At 34.8% G+C, this 25,347-nt stretch overlaps 1 protein-coding gene across 12 annotated transcripts in view, besides 1 other annotated feature; it reads right to left on the reverse strand.

Annotated features, from left to right (window-relative positions):
- The window catches only part of MAGI2 (membrane associated guanylate kinase, WW and PDZ domain containing 2), a 1,436,613-nt gene that overhangs the window by 928,760 nt on the left and 482,506 nt on the right, over positions 1-25,347 (reverse strand). The gene's annotated exons all lie outside the window — the stretch shown is intronic.
- Positions 23,221-23,722: an enhancer, noted in NCBI's record as "OCT4-NANOG hESC enhancer chr7:78598351-78598852 (GRCh37/hg19 assembly coordinates)". NCBI's record gives its function as "activates a minimal SCP1, AML or CMV promoter by ChIP-STARR-seq in primed H9 embryonic stem cells {active_cell/tissue: H9 hESC(primed)}" and the evidence as "EXISTENCE:reporter gene assay evidence [ECO:0000049][PMID:30033119]".

Consider the following 25,347-nt stretch of genomic DNA (forward strand, 5'->3'; position numbering starts at 1 on the left):
TAATAAACTCTACATCCTCAAAATCCCAGATTAAATTTGACTTCATCTTCGGGATCTTCCTCATCTGTCCCAGAATAGCCCAGAGATAGTCCTGCTTCTGCATTTCCATGACATTTTGTGCATTCCCAGCATTTATAATGTTATCAGAACAATCCTTCTGAGCAGGAGTTTATTGTTACTCAACATCTTAGTGTCTGGTGTCTTAAAGATGATGATGTTAAAATATTTGTAACTAGCATAATCAAAGAAACATGAAAAAATGGTATAATCATATCATCTGAGGACCATTGCTGTAGAAATATTTTAAATTGTTGTGAGATTATTTGAAAGAAAGCTGTTTAATATAATTGTTAGTTAGCATATTTAAAATACTATAGAATTTTAAGTCAGCCTTTGGTTGGTTTTCAGAATGCAGACTTCAGTCTTCAGGCTTTAAGTAATCATGTAAAGCAACTAAATATACTTCTTTCTTCCTAGATAGTTAATATGATTGTCATTACATCAACCAATGTAAGAATTTGCTTATCACATACAAAAGAAAATTAGATTTGGCACTTGAACCTATCATATGTAAACAGTTGATCTCTTATTGGTATATTGCAAAGAAGAAATGAATAATTGCAAGGTCTAAAACATAGTTCACCATTAAAAATAAGTATCTGAATTATAATATTATGATTGGATGGTACCTTATATAGAAAGCCTCTGGCTTTGACACAAGAAAAATTGAATGTTTCTAAGTGTATTGAAATTGTAGTCATTGCAGCCTAAACTTGTCTTTCTGGCAGATAATTGCTTTTCATGCACCTTAGAGGTGGGTATAAACTGAAATTTCAAGTACTGCTTCTGGGTTATGTTTATTTCCTGAAAAATGGAACCAATAAGAGGCTTGTTTCAAAATTCCACATGTCAATTTTATAGTGTTAGAATGCCTTTGACACAAAACAAAATATTTGACTTGTAATTCATCTGTTTATATTGGGTCTTCAGTTAAAAAATATATTTTTATGTATTGAAGAAAATTCCATCACCCAAAGGAATTTGTTCTTGACTCTTATCTTTATTGATTGAAGTGGGATTCTAAAAATCCATCTAGGTGAAAACACATCGTCCAGATTTTCCTGGCCATCATATTCTAAGAGACAAATGAATTTTATAATTAACCATGGAAATTACCTATTCAGTAGCTAAAATAATCTTGTGTGGGCTATGGTTTTGATAAAAGAAAAATTCTGGCCTGAATTATGTTTATTACTTATGAATGACTTTCAAATGCTTCCAAAATTTGCATTCAGACCATGGACAGTAACTAACTCTCTTCTTGGTTTAGTAAAAACAAAACAAAACAAAAAAAACAAACCAAAACAAACAAACTTAATAAGGATGGAGCGTTCACTCTAAGAACAGGTACCATGGGTAAAAACTCTGTTTGGTAACTCCTCCATCCCTCAAACTCCCTCCTCCCCTCACCTCACCCAAATACGTGACACATTTTCCTCCATGTACTAAGTAGATACTTACTGATTGCTGTGATTGATAAGACAAACCATACCCTTAAAAACATTACTTCTTGCAGTTTGATTGACTCTTGAGATTGAAACAAAGGAAAAGAAGAACTGTGCTCATATTAATAAGCTACTTGAAAGTTACAGTGGATGATATAATTTCTGATGAAATGTTAGCCCAGATGAAAATATGCTTAAGTATTTACATATTCAGTATAACATGGCCCTTCTCAGCTCTGTAATCATGGTGTACTTCTATAGGCTGAATTTAGAAATAGATATTAGTTACGATATGAATTCATGAGATTCATTTTTAACAAAGTAGAGTTTATATTATTAAATAGCACTTGGCTATTCTAAGCTATTACTTTTGGAGATGAAACACATACACATGAATTACAGAATTGACTTCAGGGTCAGTTGCTAGCTTGGGATAAAATAAACCTTTTGATTAACACACATTATTTTTAAAATCAAAATAATGGTAACATTTGTTTGTTTGTTAGGTCAACTTGCTGACCAGTATTGGCTCTAAATGACTTTTGGCCATTTCCTAAAATTGCATTTATCTAAGAATTATATAAATTTGTCACCAATGATGATATTCAAATAAACTTTCCTTAGATCTTTTCTGAATAGGAACCCTAAAACTGTGAGTGACAATGTGCATTTGATGGAAATATGGAATAACCAGAAGTTAAGTTAAAATGGGACGTTGAAGATAGTATTATTCTAGCTTATATTTCACTGATAGGAAAAGTGAGACTAAAATGATTTATGTAGGGCCAGACCATTGAGGTACTAAACCAAATGTTCATGATATTTGGGCTCACTGTCCTCTGCCATACTGCCTTGAAAATTAAATATATGTTATTGACATATTTTGAACACCTGAGTCACTTCATTTTACATTTATACATTTAATATTATTTCTTAAAAACAGAAGTATATACGATTATTTTAATGCAACTTTTATTTCTACTTTTTTTTTTCTTTTCCTCAAAGAAAACAAACACAATTGTACTTAGCAGCATATGATTAGAGAGGATTGACTTGAGTCCCAGCTTTTCAGATAGCTTTTCAGATTATTCATTTTCATGTGAATTTTTATACTCTGATATGAAAGGTAGGATGCTCTTCCCTGAGATTACTTTGGTTCACTGGAACTGTCACTGCTGGCTGGTAGGAAATAATGGCTTTGACTTTAAGTAGCCACATCTTGTAGACAGTTAAAAGTATTTATTGACAGAATGTTAAGTGATGCATTTCATAGTGGAGACTCATTTTATAGAACGACATTAGGCAGAAGTATTCTTAAACTAATGAGTTATTATTTGTACATTAGAATCAATAATAGAAAACTTGTTAAACATTCTATAAATAGTAAATGTAGAACTCAAATCAAAATTTTCCTTACTTTCCTAAATAACTTAGAAGCATGAAACATGAAGGAGAGTTTTGAAATTTTAAAAAATGTTAATTTGCTCAATACGAACATATCACATTGATAGTTTATTATACATATTTTGATGTGTGCTTTCCATAAGTACCCCAGTTTCTCCTTTTTATCCTATAATAATCTGAATGGAAAAACAGACACATGCTCCTAAATTGTATACTGAATTCTAAAGAGAAAAAGTTTCAGTCAAAAGTTTTAATTATAGCAATCAGTCACAAAGAAAGTTCAGAAAACTTATAAAAAAACTTCAATATTTTAAAATTATAGTGGCCATAGGGAACACTCATATGAACATTGTGAAATCAGGGAAAAATAAAGCCTTAGTTTTATTGTGAAAGCAACATTCTGTGTATATACAATTGCAGAATTACTATGAAATGTGGAAAAATAGAAGGATTTGTGTTTGCAACAAACAGTGTTTTAAACAATTTGCTTTACAATTATTTAGAAAAGTTCTATGATGGCATAATGCCTGATGTCTAGAGCATAATAGAGTGTTATTATGCTTATTATTGCTTGCTGTTTTATTTTGTATTTGAAATTACAAACCAAAACACTGGCAATGATACAATTAATACCTGATCAATGGAATTCTTCATCTGGTAAAAAGTCTTGGCCTGCTCTGCTTTACCCACAATAACTATTAGATTAAAGACAAGTGAAACTACGAATAACAAAACCAGAGTGATATCTAGCACAATGGCCATTGATAAGAAGGGTTGCATATAAAGAAAGCATGCTTGAAATCAGAGGCTAAAATACATTTCTACATTGAAGCTCAAAGTGAAGAGGAGTATAGAATTTGTCATTCTATATTTACCTAGTTTCTGTAGACAAAAAGTTTATTATCAAAGTTTTTATGTTGTATAATGACATACAAAAATTATTGAAAACCAGCTACCAAGTGTTATAGCTAATCTAATTTCATTTCATTGTTGTAGAGATTGTTTGAAATACAACCATCCAGAAATAAACACTGAGTTTCTACCTGGTGACAGCCATGAAGGTGCATCTCTCACATCTCCACCTATAGGGAGCATAATTGAACCAGGATCTAGCTGTTTCACTCGGAAATCCATGTTGGCATTTGCATAAGGCCTTGCTCCCCTTCGGCTTCTCCTAGCCAATGCCTGAGCACATCTTGGAATATTAAACCAGGCTTGTTTCTGGGAGATACTGGCCTCCATTGACAGGCAACTCTGGCTTGGAGACTCCTCAACAGTCCTGCCAAACTTTCCTTAGAACTCATCTGTAGTCTAAGACTCTTCTACACCTTCTTTCCCCTCCTCTGCATCTCCTCCCCTGCCTCCCCTCTCTTTTCCTCCCTTCTTCATTTGGGGTTAGACATGCATTTCAGGCTGATGATTCTCCTGGTCTTCCCCAGCTGGCTGCTCATCTTATCTTATTGGTGATTCACCTAATACATTTGTTGTAAGTTTAACTTCATTTTGATGTGTGTTGCTTGGAAGACCCCTGCTAACACATATCCCTATCTAAATGATTCCTATGATTGCAAAAATTTTCTGAGTGTAGCTCTTAGATATTTCATCTAACTGAACTAGCTTACATTGCTGTAACATATATTTGGATTATTGCTTTAAAAAATGCAGTTAGTATCCATATTTATTAAGACTTTAAAAAACATTAAGACACTGATGTTCTTTGAAAACTCTCAGCAAAGTCAGATTGCCATGAACCTTACACATTTTTAGCACTGTTTTATTCTGAAAGCAAGTGTTCATACATTTCCATATGCCGGTTTCTCACCATGGAATAATCTCCTCCCTTTTCTTTCTCTTGTAAATGCCTATATTTTTCAATATCCAATTCCACCTTCAGCAAAAGTTAGTTTCTTCAGCTGGAATTTCAATATACTATAATGATAATACTAAAACACAGCAGTCTTTATGAGAAAAGATAAGGACTTGTTCATTTGTAGATATAGTGATTTGCTTATGTAAATTCAAAACAAAATTTGCTAAATTCAAAAATGGGAAAAGTAGCTGTCTAAAAGGCAAGGAATTTTGGGGGTACAGGGAAAACTTTTTATTAAAATTTTAGAACAGGGAAAAATCTATGAATAAATACAAGTGGATATAATGTGAGTGACCCTATAAAGTTAACATTGTCCTCTATTCTTAGAATAAGATGCTTGCCACTGAGTCTTTGTCTCTCCCACCCTAACGTTAGCTTTTTTTTTTTTTTTTTTTTGAGATGGAGTCTTCCTCTGTCACCCAAGCGGGAGTGCAGTGGTGCGATCTCAGCTAACTGCACCTCCCACCTCCTGGGTTCAAGCAATTCTCCTGCCTCAGCCTCCCAAGTGGCTGGGATTACAGGTGTGCACCACCACGCCTGGCTAATTTTTTGTATTTTTAGTAGGGATGGGGTTTCACCATGTTGGCTAGGCTGGTCTTGAACTCCCAACCTTAAGTGATCCACCACCTTAGCCTTCCAAAGTGCTGGGATTACAGGCATGAGCTGCCACACCCGGCTGATGTTAGCTTTTAACTCAGTTGCTGTATTAGTCTGTTCAAATGCTGCTATGAAGAAATACCTGAGACTGGGTAATTTATAAAGAAAAGAGTTTTAATTGACTCACGTTCTGCATGGCTGGGGAGGTCTCAGGAGACTTACAATCATGGTGGAAGGGGAAGCAAATACATCCTTCTTCACGAGGTGGCAGAAAGGAGAAGTGCCAGCAGGGGAAATGCCAGACGCTTATAAAACCATCAGATCTTGTGAAAACTCACTCACTATCACGAGATCCAATCACTTTCCAACAGGTCCCTCCCATGACACCTGGGGATTATGGGAACTGCAAGTCAAGATGAGATTTGGGTGGGGACATGGTGAAACCATATCAATTGCCTGTTTTTTAAGAACTTAGTTTAAACTCAAATGTATATCACCAAACTTAACTTTCCCCTTTATCTCTTCATCCAACCAAAAATTTTCTTTTAATTCATGACATTAATCAGGTAGGCTTAAAATTTCTTCTGACCTCTTCCTCTTTATGATTTCTTATATTCAGAAAATTACTTGTGAATTCTCTGAAATACATTGTAATCTATTACTTCCTTTCTGTTATCACATCCTCTACACTGATTAGGGACCTTACAGCCTTGTATTCCACCAGACTATTTCTTCTCTTCTAATATCCTAACATTTCACATGCCTGCAATTTAAACTTCTCAAAGTATCTTTTGAATTGTGTGCTTTTCATACTAAAGTTTTTCAATGGCTCTTCCTTCCTCACTGAATAAAACCTAAACCTCTTTGCCTGGCATTTCCATTTCTAAAATCTGGCTCCAAACTACCCTTCCAAATTTATCTCCCTCTTGAAAATATTGTGTGACCCTTTGGTTCTGAAAAGCTAAAAGGTATAAAAAATTAGGGGAGCTGGTTAAAAGTTAAGACTTCTGGTCTTACAACTCCAGAGATTCTGGAACAAAAGTTTGAGGGTGGGGTCATTGTCTCTGCCATTTGTGTATATTTTCCAAGTGACTCTGATATGGGTGGTCATCATATTACACTAGGAGAAACACTTACATTTAGCTAAAACTGAATAGTTTTTCTTGGTGAGCACTGCTTTTTCTTTTCTGTCTCTTTAGATGGGTCTATATTGCCCTCTCATCAAGAAAAAACTGTTTTCATCCATGTATTTTTTCATTAATTCATTAATTCATTCATTCATTTATTCATTTGTACAAGCCTACTCTGAGTCGTGCTGAAAATAACTGCCCCATTCAGCGTTCCATAAAACAAATGTTCCTATTTTCTTTTAATAAATAATTGCTTAAGCAGTTGAAACAAATATTTTACACCTGGTGATATTCATTTGTTGCTAATTTAGTTATGTCTTATATGTAACTATGAAGAAAAGACTCATGAAATTGCTTTTGGCAAATCCTTCAGCTACCTAGAAAATTCATATGGTTCCCATACGCAGACTTTTAGATGGATTTAGAAGCTAAAACTATTTTAATGTAAAGTTTCCTTACATGGTTTGCAAAACATCCTGATATTTTAAAATTCTATTTTATTATCAAATGTGTAACAGGAAGGGGTCATCCAAGGATTGAAACATTGTACCTGGGTGTGAGTAGCAAGGTCCCTTAACCATGTTCTGGAATAGCCCATTAAAATATTTGGCAACAAATGTTTTTGGAATGCTTATTGTTTGGACCTACTAAAGTGAAATATTTGTTAAAAATGGTTAATCAGCAAGTACTCTAAGGAGAAGAAGCCATCTGTGAGCCTGGATGCTCACTTCTGCCCTTGTAATTTCTGCAGGTTGAAGAACCTCTGGAGTAGCCTGACAGTTACTATCTGAAACATTCTTCATATAATACATCCACACTTCTAACATGTTTCCTGAACCTCTCTCCTAACTGAAAACATCACCATCTTCCCCAAAACCTGAGCTGTCTCAAAAAACAATTTTCTTTCTGATCTACTTATTTGGCATCTGGTATCCATCTGAATGCACATGTGGTGAACGTGCATCAGCAACCCAAGAGGGCAGTAAAAACTTACCCACAAAGATGATTTCCTTGTTTGACTTCCTCCCTATTTCAAGGTGTAAATCAAGTGTTGCTCCAGAATGGATAGCTTCTGCCACAATGATGGAAATAAAGTTTCTGTGTGTGGTTTTGTGTGTGTCTCTGTGTATGAAATAGAGTTAAATGGCTTGAGAGTATATAAAAATAAAACAATAAATGGGGAAATAACTTATAATAACATTATGACATTTTCCTTCCAAATTCTTTATTGTCATATTTAAATTATAACCCAGTAGTTTAAATTGTGAATTCTTAGATCAATATGAAAGTACATAAAAAGAAAAAAATTAATCTTCGTAACAACAAAGATTTTCTCCTCTGTCTTTGCTTAGTATCATGAATGGTGTAAGATATCAATTCTGCTTTAAAAACAACAGCTCTACAGACAGCTTCCTAGAGTTGAGATCGCCGATCATTTTAATTTTCTTTAAAGCTGATTCTGCAATCAGTGCTCACTATACAAAGATGATGTTCTAAGAACCAAATGAAATTGGGCTGTTTCTAACTTGCTACATTTTTCATCCTCCTCCTTAAACACAATCATGAAAGTATTTAAGTGAAAAAGAGGAATGATGACTTAAATGTTTGAGGATGACTCATAGTGTTGAGGGGCTATGCTAGATCTAAAATTTTCATTTGAAATTTTCAAATGGAACAATCCCTTCCTGTAGTTAATAAATCATTAGACATACTACGCATTTTTCACTTGACATCAGAGTTTTTATGTTGAATTTTCATTTCAGTTTAAGGTTCGCCTTTGTCATCTTAAAATGTATCCTATTACAGAGAGAGAAACCTGGATAATATGCCTCCTCATTTAATATTCAGTCTTTCCTCAAGCTTACAGACACTGTAAGCCCCGGAGAGCACTGCCAAATGTCTACTTCTTATGGAGAACCCCTTTTCAGCAATAAGTTTTTATCCATTTGGCATGTTTCTGTAATATGCTTCTTTTTCAAAATTATGACCTCCCACATTACAAATGTTCTTTTTCTTTTTTTTTCCTCTGAAGATAAGAATTTTAGATAGTATTCCTGTCTGTGAAACTACTCGGAACTCCAAAGAATCACTGGAAAAATAGCCACAGTTAAGGAGGTCAGGGTATAGTGAAATGAAACAAGGTAAGTCATACACTAATTGAGCCTAACTGCTTATGCTATAGAAAATACATTAGTCTTCTGATAAAATATGTCCAGCCAGTTGTTCCTGGTCTGGCAATAGTGTGGATCGACAATATGCCCTGGAATTGCTTTGTGATGCCTCCTTCCCCTAATTTAGACTGTACCTACACTTAATGCTCACTTTTAAAGTTCTGGCCAAAGGTCTAGAGAATAATTTTTCCCTGCATACTGCATAACATTTAAAACATTTAGTTCCTTGAAAAGTGCTATTGAGCTGTTTTACTGCGTGTTAATAGATGAGGGAGTATGGTAGTTGTGATCATTCTTTTTTTAAAAAAGGAGTCAGTTTCAAAGCATAAAATGATTTTATTCTTGTAGGTTTTGCTTATAATTCAGCATTAAACATAATTTGAATCAATATAAAAAAAGAGGTCTGGTTATTATAGATGTGAGTTTTAAGAACCTTACACAGTACAGTCTATTATATCTGGCTCAGCAGTGGTGGTGATATGAGGTGTTTCACTTAATAACAAAAATAATATTGTAATAGGAAAATGAGACTCTATAAAGAAGTCCTGTTGGCACAAATGTACAATAGCTTATGTTCAAAAGAAAAAAAATACACTAAGCCCCTTATTGTCTCACTATTATGCAACTCTTTAGACAGGGATCACTTAATGAGACCATTTCATAATGACGGTATTTAGTATCTTAATAAATTATAAATAGTCCAAGATAATTCCTGCTTCATTCCAAATTTTATTTTGTAGTTAAAAAAACTATAGTAGAATATATGTCTTTGCATTTATACATATATGATAGGAGATATATGTATATATTTACATATATCATGGGACATATGTATATATATAAATAAAATGTAAGTACATTGCATACATGCATGTAATATGTAATAAAGCACAGCCTGTACTCAAATGCTGAGCATATATTTGTAAGTTATTTGCATATTAAAAATTAGCATAAAGGTACATATTACAAAAAGGAAAAATTAATGGATGAAGATGAATTGTCTGAAGTCGGAAAAAAATAAGACTCCCTTCTTTGGTGAAAACATCTATATTTCATTGTTCAAAGTGTCCCACTTATGTGGGTAGTACATACTTTCATACTCAACCAAAATTGCTTCCCTCCCTCCCTTCCTTCCTTCCCTCCCTCCTTTTCTCTCTCTCTCTCCCTTCCTTCTTTCCTTCCTTCCTCCCTCCCTCCCTTTCTCTCTCCCTTTCTTTCTTTTTCTTTCTTTCTCTTTCTTTCTTTCTTTCTTTCTTTCTTTCTTTCTTTCTTTCTTTCTTTCTTTCTTTCTTTCTTTCATTTCTTTCGTTCATTCTTTCTTTCTTCCTTCCTCAGTAATAATTTTCTGAGGTCTCACAGATTTTTGTTAAATTGTCTTTGCTCAACTCTTTTACATTAGAAACACAGTATTTGTTCACTTTATAATATCTAGAAACTACCCAAAGATGCCTTTTTTTTTGTTTTCAGTAATTATAAACTCCTTGCTGTTTGTGGTACACTCTGCTAAGTTGTATGAATTTTTAAAAAGTTAAAAAGACACAGTTCCTACAGTAAGAAACATACAGTACTAGTGGTAAAGAGGGACAGGTGATGAGGTATTTAAAAGTCTGTGAAGCAAAGGCCAGTGCAAGAGGGGCACCAACCTGCCCTGGAGGTTGAGGAAGAGGTCCTGGAGAAGGTTGCACTCTGCAATGTCTGAAACCAGGAGGTCTATTAATTTTTTCCACAGTGTAATTTATTAAAATGATGTATTTATGTAAGTTTGTCTCATCATATTTGCATTATGTTAATAAATGCAGATTTTATTTTTAAAAATACCCCTCTCCTAGCAATTCTGTCTCTGAAATGTTTCCCATCCATGCTGCCTGATTCTCTAAAGGGCATTATAGTCTCTGCATGCATATCTCATAGGACCTACACTAAAAGGTCCACCTTTTATGGAGAAACAGTTAGAAAGTCAACTTCCAGTCTGGAGAACAATGTTACTGTGGGAAAATAATCACAAAAATCCTTTTCATATTATCTTTACTTCTGTTTTCTAAGTTGAGAAAAAAAGTGCTGATTTCTGACTATTTCCTACATTCTATTTTCTAAGTTTCTGTTTTTCCCTTGTAGTGTGGCTAAGACATTTTGGTAACAGTGTAACTTCTGTGTCACACATGGAGATGAAGAGGGAACAACTGTAGCAGGGTCATATTTGTAAAACAAAGAGCAGGGCATATACTACTATTCTCTAAGTTCTGAAGATAGTGCCCGTTTTTTATGTAATACATCAGTCCATTGACTACTGTTTATTATACCAAGGCAGAAACTAAAAAGTGATCTGAGGACACTCCTTTAAGAATGAAACAAACAGCAACATACTATCAAATGTCAAAGGCACAGGGCTAAAATGAATAGATGAGATGTGTTTTTGCTAGCTCAGGGTTTTCTGCTTCTTTATCGATGGGCCAAATGAAACATTTTGATGGCTATTATTAAAGACTTAGGGGTCAGGCGCGGTAGCTCACGCCTGTAATCCCAGCACTTTGGGAGGCCGAGGTGGGTGGATCACCTGAGGTTAGGAGTTCGAGATCAGCCTGACCAACAGGGTGAAACCCTGTCTCTACTAAAAATACAAAAATTAGTCGGGCGAGGTGGTGGTCACCTGTAGTCCCAGCTACTTCGGGATGCTGAGACAGAAGAATTGCTTGAACCCGGGAGGCAGAGGTTGCAGTCAGCCAAGATTGCGCCATTGCACTCCAGCCTGGGTGACAGAGTGAGACTCCATCTCAAAAAAAAAAAAAAAAAAAAAGAAAAGAAAAGAAAAAAAAATTTAGGAACCCCTCCTAAATGCTCCTTATAAGTAAAGGAGCATATTTCATTGCATACATGTTTTCTAAAATGTTTTTGGTTTGAACTGAGCTTCTAAAACTATAGTATAATTTGCCTCAATTACTGATAATTGTAATTTTCTAATGTAAAACTAATAATTCAGACTGATAAATTTACTATATGTAATCGTAAGTACATACATAAATTTACTATATGTATATGTAAGTACATACATAAAATGACAGTTATAATAAGAGCTTAGCTTTCTAAAACAATAATAGACCAAAACCTGTTTGAAATGCTTTTCATAAACTCAATTAATCCTTATAAGGAAGCTATAAGATAAATTCAGTTATAATTTCGTTTTTACAGAAGAGAGAACCAAAGCATAGAGAGGTTAGGTAACTTACTCAAGATCACACAGCCAGTCAATGGTATGGTCAGAATTCAAACCCACTCAGCCTGGCTCCAGAGTTGGCATTCCTAGAAACCCTGTTGCTACCTCTCAACATGTATATACCTTGCTCTTTGTTTTTAAATTCCAGCCTGATGCTGCTGCTCCCTCTTCATTTCTCTGTGTGACTCAGAGGTTCCACAATTACCAAAAAATCTTACCCACACTACATGCAAAAATTAGTACATTAGCTGTAGCTTTTACTTGTGTGTCATTGATTAAGGCAATACCTGTAAGACCCCTGTTCTTTTGAGTATCTTTTCTCCGACTAAGCCACCCAATTAAATCAGTTGCTATGTTTACCTGGCAGGGGAATAGGAGCCACTGCTGTTTCCCCAGCAGTTCACAGTGTGTTATCTTCTTTGAAGCCCTGCTCTCCTGTTTATTTCCTTTGTCCTTCCCACCTGAAGTCCCTCCTGCAGCAGCTATTTGATGGTCTTGTTATCAGCCACTCTGCTCCTTTGTCTATGCCAGAAAAAAAATTATAGTAGCAGGCAGCTGTGCCCTCAGTCATGGTGGAGTGCTTACATCCTGGGATAGGTCTTCTAAATTGGGTGAGATGACATAGGCTTTCAGTTTAGCAGTGAACTTTGTGTCACATTGATGCTGCAGCCTGTTTCTAAGACTCCCCAGATGTGTGTGACAGTTCTTATTATGCTTCTCCAGAACAGGGACCCTCAACATCATGGTGTCATTTGTAGAGTTTGTTATGAGTAATTTCTTGCCAATCATAACTCAATGAAAATTGTGAAAATTATTTTTAGACATTATACCAGATTCCCATGGTATTTTGATAATTTTCTTAAGCAGAAAATTAAATGTATAAAAAGTAATTATAGTTAGCTAGCCAGGGATTGTGCTTAACATTTCATCTGCCCATGGGAACATGCGGTTCATGTGTGTCAGAGTGGAAAAATGGTGAAGTGCTTCTCCATTCGTTGGTCAATGAATGGGGTGAAGCCGTTCTACCTGGAGGCCCTAGTGTACCAGAAATGGCTTCCAAGCAATTGGATTACCTGGTAATCCACCGCAAAGCATGTGATATAATTTACTGTGCCTAAATTTGTGCTTGATATAGAGTTCACTATTTTTATAAACAAAAGCTTAAAAGAGCACTGAAGATAATATTTACAAAGATATGTGCTGTCTGATATTTAGTGATGATGTTTACTTCTCTTTTACACAAGAAAATTCTTTGTTGCATGCTGAATGCCTCTCATACACGGTGGGGTGCCTCTGAGCTTCATACTGATCTACAAACCAACCCTGGCTCTGCAACTCGGCCACGGGCAACCTTGTAAGATCTTTTCAATATGTCCATGCACAACTGGAATCCTCTTTTTTATTTTTTAATAATCTTTGAATTGATGGAATTGCTTTTACATCATTTATGTGTTCATAATTATGGTTGCTGAAAATATATTGAAAGAAAAGAGACACCTTAGGCAACTCAGCTTCACCACTTGGTTCATGCAAAGTTAGTCAATTCCAGCTGAACATTACTTTTGGTTATAGAATAGGGGCTTTGGATTACTCTAAAATGGCATTGTTCTTCAGGAGTTAAGCATTGTAGTGTGCTGCCAAACCTATACCATTATTTTTCTTTAGAAGACAAAGGAAAGGTAAAAAGTATAATAAATTAAAAAAAAATCCCCATAGAAATGTAAAATGCATCACTACAATTTTTTCTCCTACTGAAACAATAATAGCTTCAATGGGCCATTATCATCTGAGGCAAAGAGAATGAGACACTACCTGTCAATGAGTGTTTAGGGATTAGTTAATACACAGGCTACGTCATTGAAGCAATACATTATAACATCTCTTTCATGATGGTGACTGTCTGATGTATAAATGTTTACTTAGGGAATCATTGATGTATGTTTCATTACAATGTTAGCAGTTTTTGACATTGTGTCACCGTGTGGTTGATTACTTCTGAATCTGTGAGCTCACTTTGACTTTTCGAGCCTGGATTACTGACCCCATAAATTGTTATGGCTATTTCTAATTGTTTTAGTATGCTGTATGAAATTGACTTATGAGTTAATCATGTATCATGGGCACCGGCAAACACGGATGTGAGCCATTCCAAGGTTTCTGGAGTTATGGAGTGAATCACTGTGCAATTTCGATACCTGCTTTATGTAAACATACATGTAATTAATTATTATAACCCAGTATGGCTAATTTCAATATGTAACATGGCCTGCCTATGTAGAAAATATTATGGCATCATATAAAATAAATATTTACTGATAAATACAGGAAAATACCTAGAGCAAGGATTCTAAGTAGATACCAATACCACTTCCAATTCTGATCTATTGGAACTAGAATCCTAATGCACCATGTTATGAGTAATTCAGAAGGTGGTACTCCCTCAGAGGAGACAGAGAAATGATGTGTTAGAAAACCTGATAAAACTGCAGGAAAGGGATGTGTGGGGAGGCAGGGATGGCAGCACACAAACATTTACTAACTTGGATTGGAATTTATTTGCAAAAAAGTCACATATTATTTGTTACCTATGTTTATTAAATATATATGGTATAACGTAGAACAGGTAATGTGTTCATTCATATAACGATACCATGTTACGTCAGCGTAGACTCAGGTTAGGAGTTGAAGGGAGCCAGTAGGACTGTATTTGTCTCTCCCCAAGTCTGTTCCCAGATTATAATAATCATGAATATTTTCTACTCCCTAAGGAGTGAGTACTGCTAGAGTCTTTCTTTAGTGGCCTTGAGACATAATGTTTGCAGAAATCATATTCAAAGAAATGTAAAACAAATAAAATGATGGTACTATTAATGATGGAGGTTGAGTTTTCAGATATTTTCTGCTAGAATCCTGTACTAAGTACTTATCCTAAACTTGCCATTATTTAAACATATTGAAATTCCTTCAGGGTAAGTATATTATCAGTCTTTTACACTGATAATAAGAGAGGTAAAGACAGTTGCACAACATTGCATAGTTAGTGAGTTAGCTAGAATTTGAACCCAGAACATGGAACTAACTCCAAACCATGGTCTTTCCACTTCACTCTGATTGGTTAAGGAATCTAAGTACTTTCAGGATATTTAATCCTCATTAGCCCATATTTTAAACTGAAACCTTAATTTGGCTTTAAGGAATGAAGACCTGGAATGATTCCATACGACCTATATCCTTTTCAAAGCTCTCCTAAGTAACAGAAACTCCAGGATAGGGAATTTGGGGATAAAATACCAGTTCTGATTTCCCTTGCCATCTTTCTAAATGTTGCAGCTCCTTGGAGGGATTCTTGGCATTTATTTCAGGCCTTAGCTCTTGGAATTAGTTTAATTACAATTCAAAAGAGAGTACTTTAATGTATTTATTTTTATGTACTTAGGGATCTTTATTGCAAATGAAAGGTAGGACTTTTAGCTTCAGGCAAACTTTATTGAGTAGCTCAAATGAAGTCACCAATGACCTGATCTCTCTCCTTCTTTCCATTACGTGATATAAATGTAATCTTCAGATGCCAAATTGGGCTTCCCCATCCCTGCCCTGTGCAGCCCCTCGAGGCTCCCCTGTTACTGATCTGAGCCTCACAGTCTCACACCACACCATCTGGAGAAGGAAATTCTCTCTTCTGGTAGAAGAGAGAAACAACTTCTTTTCTATCCCAGAAAAACATCTCCTTTGGCTCTTACTGGATTACGTACCCTAAACTAATCGCTGTAATCACAGTTGACAGATAACCAGTGATATCTGGATTCTCCAGTGACAAAAAGAAAAATTTTAATTGTGTAACTAAGTGGTTTATGTGGATGTGCACATAGACAGCTTGCTGTTTTAATAATCCTCATTATAACTGACTTGTACTGTAATGCCAGCTGAATTTTTTTCATTTTGCAGATACCAAAAAAGGTGACTCTTGAGCCCTCTAAAACAAACTATATCTGCTAGTTTGGTGTTTAGAGCTAAGCTTTCTCCTAATTCATTGGCCTAATTTTATCGTCTAAATACAGTCATGTGTAGCTTAACAAAGGGGATATATCTGAGAAATGTGTCTGTAGTTGATACTGTCATTGTGCGAATATCGTAGGATGTACTTACACAAACCTAGATGGTATAGCCTACTATACCCCTAGGCTATATGGTATAGCCTACTATACCCCTAGGCTATATGGTATAGCCTATTGCTCCCAGGCCATAAACTTATACAGTATGTTACTGTAGTGAATACTCCAGGCAACTATGACACAATGTTAAGTATTTGTGTATCTAAACATAGAAAAGGCACAGTAAAAATATGATATTATTATATTATGAGACTATCATAAGTGCTGTTGGTTTATTGAACTCTCGTTATGTGGTACAAGACTGTACATTCACTAAACAGAATGATCTTCCTCATTCCACTCCTAGTTTTCTATCTGGAAACAAATCTTTGAAGGAATCAAAACTTTTTACTAACAACATGATTTTTAAATAAATGATGGATTATCATAAAGCAATCAAATTTAAAATGTGACATGCTAGAAACAAACTTGATTTTCAGAGGTCCGGATCCAAGTCATATTGTCATGCTTAGTTAAAACTTCGTCTCAAATGGAAAAAGGCTGAGCTTTTTTTCTTAAACTATTTAGTATGACTTTTGTTTTGTTTTACTTAAATATAGTTGAAAGGAACAGATCATCATAGAGAGACCAATTATCATCTCTACCACCTGCTCACCAAGAATAATTTAAATCAGGCCAATTCTGCAATGCTTATGTTTTTTTTTTTTTCTTCCCAGATAGGTACATGCTGTGCTATAACACTTCAGAAAATGTAATTTAGGTTCCAAAATAAAAAACTCAACTGAAACTGGAAAATTGTAGAAAAAAAAAAGATTCTATGAATGTAATGGTTTCTTTGATCTAATAATTTCTGGATAATATATTGGCATTGATTAATAAAACCTGATTAGGGAGGCAATAGTCATTATTCAATTCATTTAACTTAGTGGCAAAGATATATAGCTTAAAAATTATAGACTTACAGAGAAAAAATTTAAGTGAAGAATCATTGGTATGTGATCTTTGTTCTAATTATCAAATTAAACTCTTTTAAGTGAAATGTCTTTTCATAACCTTCAAACACTAATAATGAGTTTAACTGGAAAGAAAAAAAATTACCTGCACAGGATTTGTATGGAGGACAATGAAATGTTTTAAGTCTTTAGTTCCCTAGAAAACTTTAACTGTTTTATTATTTATAAGCTTTAAGTATTTTTGGGCATAGAATTTATCTTCACTTGCTCCCTCAAACTTGGAAGTTTTCTTACTATCCTCTAACTCAAGTGTCTGTAAACTATGAGTTATGGATTATTCACCTACTTTAAAAAAAACAATTTTACTTGAACATGGCCACACTTACTAGTTTACATTGCCTATGGGTGCTTTTTCACTATACTGGCAGAAATAAGTAGTTGTGACAGAGAATGTCTGGCCCAAAAGCCTAAAATATTTACTATCACATCCATTAAGAAAAGTTTACAGACCTTGATCTAATTTCCCTCCAACAACTTAATATAGGGAAAGCACTTTATCTGGCAAGCTTTTATTATGAACTTCTCTGATATTTCAATTGGAGTAGTATTGTCTTAGGGTACTTAGCCAACTGTCAAAATGTGCTAAAATAAACATCCTCAAAACATCTTTGTAGAAAATGCGTGAGATCTGAAAGAAAAAACATAGCACCATTTCTTTCTTTCATATTGGTCCTTTTTTATATTTTCAAAATATATTTGACCATTGGGTGTTCCAAGTTCTAACAACATGTAAACTGGGAGAGCTGGAAGTGACACTGGCCTGGAGATCAGAAAGGGAAGCTGGCATGTGAAGTAACAAAACTGAAACTCCATACTTGAGCAGAAATTGCTCAAACAACAACTCCTGAAAGCTTGGCTTAATGCAAGACGCTCCATATATATATATTCTCCTTTTTTTTCCTTAAAAAAAAAGTGTGCCCTGGTTTATAATGGAATAGGTATACAGATAAAGAACAATAGATTAAAACTAGGAGACCTAATTTCTGGTGTTGGCTCGGTTCCTAATATTTAAATTATCAGGGCATCAGAGTTTTTATTACATTAATAAAATGTGGTGATTTTCGAACTCAGGGTTTTTTAATTTTGGTTTGCTGCACTGTGTTCCACAGAGGCCATGATGTGTCTCATTAGCTCAGAGATTATGAGTCTGTTTGGGAGGGGAATGAGGGAGGAGGCCCAGCCTCCAAAATCCTAATTTTGCTTGTTTGATAATTCCACTGGTGTTAGATATGTTTTATCTGAGGGAAGGGTTATTTAGTTTAGCCCTCCTACTTTCCTTCTAATACATTTATAAAAGGGGCATCTACGCTCTTTTTTTTTCTTTTAATTTTTTTTCTGTACTGTAATAATACATTATTTATTCTTATTTTGGCAAATGAAATGATTTAAATATAAATCCTGCTAACATTATAGTTTGAATTTTGCAGATTTTCTAGTATTTTTCCATAAACATTTTAAATGTAATGTTAATCATTCAGCACATATACTTTTATAGCATACTTTTAGAAGCTTAGCTTATATCATTTTCACTTTTTGTATTACTACATCATCTCATAACCATAATTTTAATGGCTGTGTTTTATTTTATCAAACCACTAACTCGTGGTTTAATGTTTTGGTGAACCAATTAAGTTGCTTCCTCTTTTGTGATGCAATAAAAATCTTTATACAAATTTATGTGAATAGCCTTTTTTACAGACAGCATTATTTACTTTGAAAGAATTTTTGAGAGATGGAAGCACTGGGTTCAACAGGAAGATATATACTTCCCACCTGCTTCCTATGGATAATGTAATGATACAAATATTATTCACACATGCAACAACATACAAAGATGTCTGTACTAATTTTTAGTATCTTGTTGATCACTTTTGACATAAAGGGGTTAGAGTAAAAATTACAATAGGAATATACAAGGAGTAGTTACCAGCTTAGGAACAGAAATGAAATGACTTTCCCTAGAACTTATGATGACTTTACTTCCCATTCTATAACAAAGTGTCTTTATCATTGACTTTTTCTTTTTAAAATATTCTGCTTTTACACCAGAATATCATACAGTCTCTCAAGTCTTCAGCCTGTTCTTTGATTCTGGAGTAAAGGCTTATTTCTTTTCATCAAGAAAAAGAATCATAGAGATTGAACTGTCCTTTATAATTAGAATAACTTAAAAACCAGATTAGTGGATAAAAAAGAGAAATCAGTTAGGGATCTTCTTTTCTATAGCAATTGTTTAGGTGTCATTGAAATTAATATATTAACTAATATAAATTATTACTTTGTATTCATATAATTTAAAATATTTGTATAAAAACAAGTACTTTCTGTTAATCTAAATCTAAATCTAATTAATTAATATAAATCTAATTAATGTTATTGTTAATAACAACATATATTATCAATGTATGATAAAGAATAAAATTAATTTAATAAAATTAAATGACATAGGGATATGCATGTCACAAAGACAAACGATTAACTTGTTGAAAAGTTATGTCAAAAGGTAGAATTTTTTTTTTTATATTTCAGAAAGATCTTATGACTTTAGGAAAATTGTTGGAGCACATTTCTTGGAGGCAGTTAATTATGTTCCCTTTGCTAGTCTTAGGTGGAACAGGAGGAAGAATGATAGAATGTAGGAGAGAAGATGGGCTATTTTAAGTGAGGGTATAATCATTATAAATATCTCAGTCTCTCTGTACATTTCGTTAGCCTAGAGATTTTTTTTTCATTTTTACTTAGCTGTTCTCCTAGGAAATCAGATTATTTTATCTACAAACACAGAATTTTGTCTTCTTTCAGTTTACCAGAATATCAGAAACCATCCCTTTTAGATTAGTTGAAGATATATTTTAAACTATGACGTACAGAAATCAAATCCTAGGTATCAAGTACTGCTACACATGTAGGATATTAGCTTGTTGCAATGATTCAACCTGATTATTGCCCTATAAAGCAGAACTTGAGCTTTTAAAATAACTCTTGTCTGAATGTTCTGTTGGGTATACTTACCTGGAGATCATTTCTTCCAGGTCATGACATTTCAGTTCACCTAGGACTCTGCGGAATCAAAAAATAGCTTTTGGAGGCAACCTCATCCCTCATCCCTCACCTTTGTTTTACAGATGAAGAAACTGAGGCCTCTAAAGTATTCAGGATATAAGGCCCAAGTTCCATCTACAGAGAATAATAGAGTATAGTTTCCCCAGATGTTGGTGGCATTCCCTGACTGCCTTTCAGCATTTGTCCAACACACTGACCTAGGTTAACCTGAATCTCTCTACAATGTGCTTAGGAGAGATAGAAATAACTGTTTTACAAAGCAAATATAAAACTTAATTCTTTAAAATTGTGGTAAGAATGTTTACCATGAGATCTATCCTCTTAATAACTTTTTAAGTGTGCAAGGCAGAATTGTTAACTATATTTACAATGTTGTATAGGAGGTAGGCAACTTATTCATCTTGCCTAACTGAAACTTTATACCTGTTGAACAGCAACCCTCCATTTCCCTCTCCCTCTACTCCTGGCAATCGTCATTCTACTGTGCTTCTGCAAATTTGCCTATTTAAGATATCTCATGTAAGTGAAATCATGCAGCATTTGTTTTGTGACTGGCTTATTTCATTTAGCATAATATCCTAAAAGTTCATCCATGTTATCCTATATGGCAGAATTTCCTTCTTTTTTAAGGCTTAATAAATTCCATTGTACGTATATGCTACATTTTCTTTATCTACTCATCTGTTGATGGACATTTAGGTTGTTTCCACAACTTGGCTATTGTGAATAATCCCTCAATGACCATGGGCATGTGAATATCTCTTTGAGATTTTGATTTCAATTCTTTTGGATAACACCCAGAAGTGGGATTGTTGGCACATATGGTTGTTCTCTTTCAATCTTTCAAAGAACCTCCATAATGTTTTCCACAGGGGCTGCACCATTAAACATTCCCACTAATAGCATATGAGTTTTCAGATTTCTCCAGATCTTTGCCTACACGTCTTTTTTTTTTTTTTTTTTTAGATAATAGCCATCTTAAGTGATGATTAGTGATGTTGAACATCTTTTCAGATCCCTGTTGGCCACTAGTATGTCTCTTTTTATTTATTTTTACTTTTGTTTTTATTTTGAGACATGGTTTCACTCTGCCACCCAGGCTGGAGTGCAGTGGTACGATCATTGCAGGCTTGAACTCCTGGGATTAAGCTATCCTCCCACCTCAGCCTCCCGAGTAGCCAGGACTACTGATGTACAGCATCTTGCTGGTCTAACTTTTTTTTTAAATTTTCCTTAAAGACAAAATATTCCATGTTGCCCAGGCTGGTCTCAAACTCCTGGACTCAAGTGATTCTCCTGTCTCTGCCTCTCAAAGTGCTAGAATTACGGGTGTGAGTCATAGCATCCAGCTTGTATGTCTTTTTTTGAGAAATGCCTGTTCAAGTCCTTTGCCCTTTTTACTGGGTTATTTGTTTATGTGGTATTGAGTTGTAGGAGTTCTTTACATACTTTCAATATTGACTCCTTATAGGATATATGGCTTGCATGCATTTTCTCTCATTCCCTAGGAGGTCTTTTTATTGTGTCAATTGTTCCCTTTGGTGTGATTTTTAGTTCATTGTAGTCCACTTGTCTATTTTTGTTTTTGTTGCCTGTACTTTTGGTGTCATATTCAAGAAATCATTGCCAAGACCAATGCTAGAAAGTTTTTTCCTTATGTTTTCTTCTATGAGTTTTATAGTTTCAGGTCTTATGTTTAAGTCTTTCATGCATTATGAGTTGATTTTTTTTTTATATATATATAGTGTAGAAGTCCAATTTCATTCTTTTGCATGTGGATATCCAGTTTTCCAAAATGACTTGTTAAACAGACTGTCCTTCCCCTTTGTGTATTCTTGGCTGTCTTGATAAAAATCAGTTTATTATATACGCATGGCTTATTTCTGGGCTCTTTATGTTGCACTGGTTTTTATGACTATCCTTATGTCATTGACATTTGTTTTTTGTTTGTTTGTTTTGAGATGGAGTCTCGCTCTGTCACCCAGGCTGGAATGCAGTGGTGCAATCTTGGCTCACTGTAACTTCTGCCTCCTGGGTTCAAGTGATTCTCCTGCCTCAGCCTCCCAAGTAGCTGGGATTACAGGCATGCACCACCATGTCGAGCTAATTTTTGTATTTTTAGTACAGAAGGGGTTTCACCATGTTGGCCAGGCTGGTCTTGAACTCCTGAGCTCAAGTGATCCTCCTGCCTCAACTTCCCAAAGTGCTGGGATTACAGGCGTGAGCCACCGCACCCTGCCTCCACTTGGTTTTAACTACCATAGCTTTGTAATGTATTTTGAAATCAGGATATGTGATGCCTACAAATTTGTTCTTTTTTTCTTGATGCTTTGGCTCTGTGGGGTCCTTTATGGTTTCCTATGAATTTTAGGATGGATTTTTCTATTTTTGTGAAAGATGCCACTGAGATTTTGATAGAAATTGCATTAAATCTGTAGATCACTTTGGGTAGTATGAACATTTGATCAGTATTAGGTCTTCTAATCTATGAAGATGTCTTTCCATTTATTTATGTCTTCTTCAATTTTTGTCATCAGTTTTTTTTTTTTGGTCTTAATGTACAGGTCTTTTATCTCCTAGGTTAAGTTTATTTCTAAGTATTTCATTATTTTTGATGTTACTATAATGGGATTGTTTCTTAATCTCCTTTTCAGATAGTTTCTTATTAGCATTGATAAGATTTCTTCACATTTGTTTGATCTTCATAGTATAGCACTTTTCAGCTATTGTTATATTACATACAGCTTTCTAGAAGTTGTACTATATCACATTAAGCAAATATGTTAAATTCCAAAAGAAGTCATTTTATTTATCAATTATGAGATCCCCATACATAAAATTAAGCACTATAAATCCAATTTATTTCTTCTTTTAATTATTATGATGTAGTTTATTGAGACAGGTGGTGATTTCTGAGAGTTAAGGGGAGAAAAAAGATTCACAAGGACACGGCCTTTATTTTCTTTGCAAATTCAGCTGCTAATACAGGAGTTATTAAGAAATTATTTTGCAGTTAGAAAGAGTAAAAGAATCCTTGGTGGAATTTTCCTTCAATAAAAAGCAGCCTCCAAACCATTTCTTTTCTAATATAAAGCAGCCTGAAAAGTCTAGCTGCAAGTATAGCTATGTAAGCTAGAGGCTTGCATATGTAAATGCCAGCAGCTGCACCTGGAAGCCAGGTACATTCAATATGGCGATTCCTGCTCCCTTTTCCTTGTTGCCACGTGTGTCGGGGTCATGGCGCAGGACAAGTAAAGCCATCTGTGCAGGTGTACTGGCGACCACCTGGTAGTAGCTGTATTTGCACAGTAAAAGATTAGGGTAGGAGGGCCAGTCTTTTCTCGAGCTGTGTAAATGGCACACCTGGTCAAACCAATCCCCTGGGCCTTATGTAAATCAATCACCGCCTCTTCAAGCCTCTGTACTAAATCGATAGCGTTCCGCCCAAACGTGGAAACCCCGCCTTGGGTAACCTACTTTCTCAACATGAGGAAGCTTTGTCTCTCTCTCCTCTTTTTTATCTGTTAAATTTTCCGTTCCTTAACCCACTCCAAGTGTGTGTTCGTGTCATTAATGATCTTGGCGAGAGACAACGAACCATGGATATTTCCCCGGACAATGAAGCCGATTCACGTCTACAATATTTAGTTCACACCTCTAGTTCGATGACTTCTCTAGTTCAGTAATTTCTCCAGTTCTTCTTTTTCTTTATGCAGTTTATAGCCAAAAACATTCTTCCTTGATAGCCTTAATTCACTTACTTTGAAGTAAACCTTAAAAGTGATACTTAACCCTACATTTGTGCAGTAGGGTTCTCATTTAACACGTTAAATGATTTAGAAAAAGCAGTTGACTCGAAATTACTGCCTACTTTTTCTAAAATAATAGTAAATAAAATATCACTACATATTACAAATCATAGTAACGGTGATAATGTTAGCCAATATTAATCAGTGTTTACTCTATGCTAAATATTTTGCACGTATGAATCCTCAAAGCAAACATTTTTTTGTGTATGAATACCAATATCCTCACTTTAAAAACGAGGAGACTGAGGCATGGAGATATTATAAGCTGCCCAAGGTTGCATAGCCTGGAATTGGTAGCACCACAGCTCAGACCCATGCATGCTGCCACCATTCCCCAAGGCTAGTCCACATTCCATCTAATATCCCTGATGAGTTAATTCATTATGGTCTTCCAAATTCCTCATTTGTTGATTATCCTATGTTACCTGGCATTATACAATTTTTAAATAGCTTCATAATCAACTAGATTATTAAATCCTTGTAAGAAAACTGTGACCTACACATATATGAGGGTTATAAATCACTAATGAATATTTATAAGTGACAGATACTTTGTTAAGCAAGTGACTTATTTTATTTTATCCTTACTACAACCCCCTGAAGGATAATTTTTCCCAGCCCCTTTAAGAGATATTTGTTGAGATTCCAGCAACTTGCCTATGTCTTATTTTGCTTGATAAATATCTCTTGTTCATAATGATCATGACATGCAGAATCATAAAGTCATTCTTCATATTTTGAATTAAAATAACTTGAGATCCCCTATGCTGACTCTCATTTCACTGAAAAGCCTATGAGATAAATTCCTATATGATAGTTCATCAGAATAGAGCAAACAGAAATTAGCAATTATGGAAACTACATTTTTTTTTCCTGAGTTGCTTGCTATAAATTCTCCTTACATTGGCAAAGGATAAAGAAGACTAAAGAAATAGTTCATAATTTTGGCAATCTGGAGAGAGAGGTAACAAGAGCTAATTCATCCTGGCTGACTCAGAAAATATTGTGACTGTGGGTCTGCACTATCACAAAGTTGAATTGTCAGTCAGGCTCACAAGAAACTAAGTTTTACTAATGGTTAGCAAAGGATATAACAAAGGAGTCACAGCTTTCTTGTATCCTGTGCTAATGCTACATCAGTGCCTGGGAGCCCAGAAATCAGTCAAGCACAGCTTCCTAAATCCCTTTCTAACACTGTGATGCATTTTGGGCTTGGAGAGAGGAATGCTAACTGTTTGACTTCCATCAGCGCAGGGAAGCCCTTTAGTTTTGGGGTCTCGTACTTTCCAAATGACTTAATGAGAATGACCATTTAATAACTTCCATTCTCTGGTGGGTTTGTGTCTAATAAATTAAAAAATGATAGTTTACTTACAATAAGCAATCCAGACAAACTTACCATATATCTGGCTAAAAATATTTCATACAGTAGAGCCCCCAGAAGACCCTCTTTTATCTTGTA

Source organism: Homo sapiens, chromosome 7, assembly GCF_000001405.40.
Source record: "Homo sapiens chromosome 7, GRCh38.p14 Primary Assembly".
In the NCBI taxonomy this organism is placed as follows: domain Eukaryota; kingdom Metazoa; phylum Chordata; class Mammalia; order Primates; family Hominidae; genus Homo; species Homo sapiens.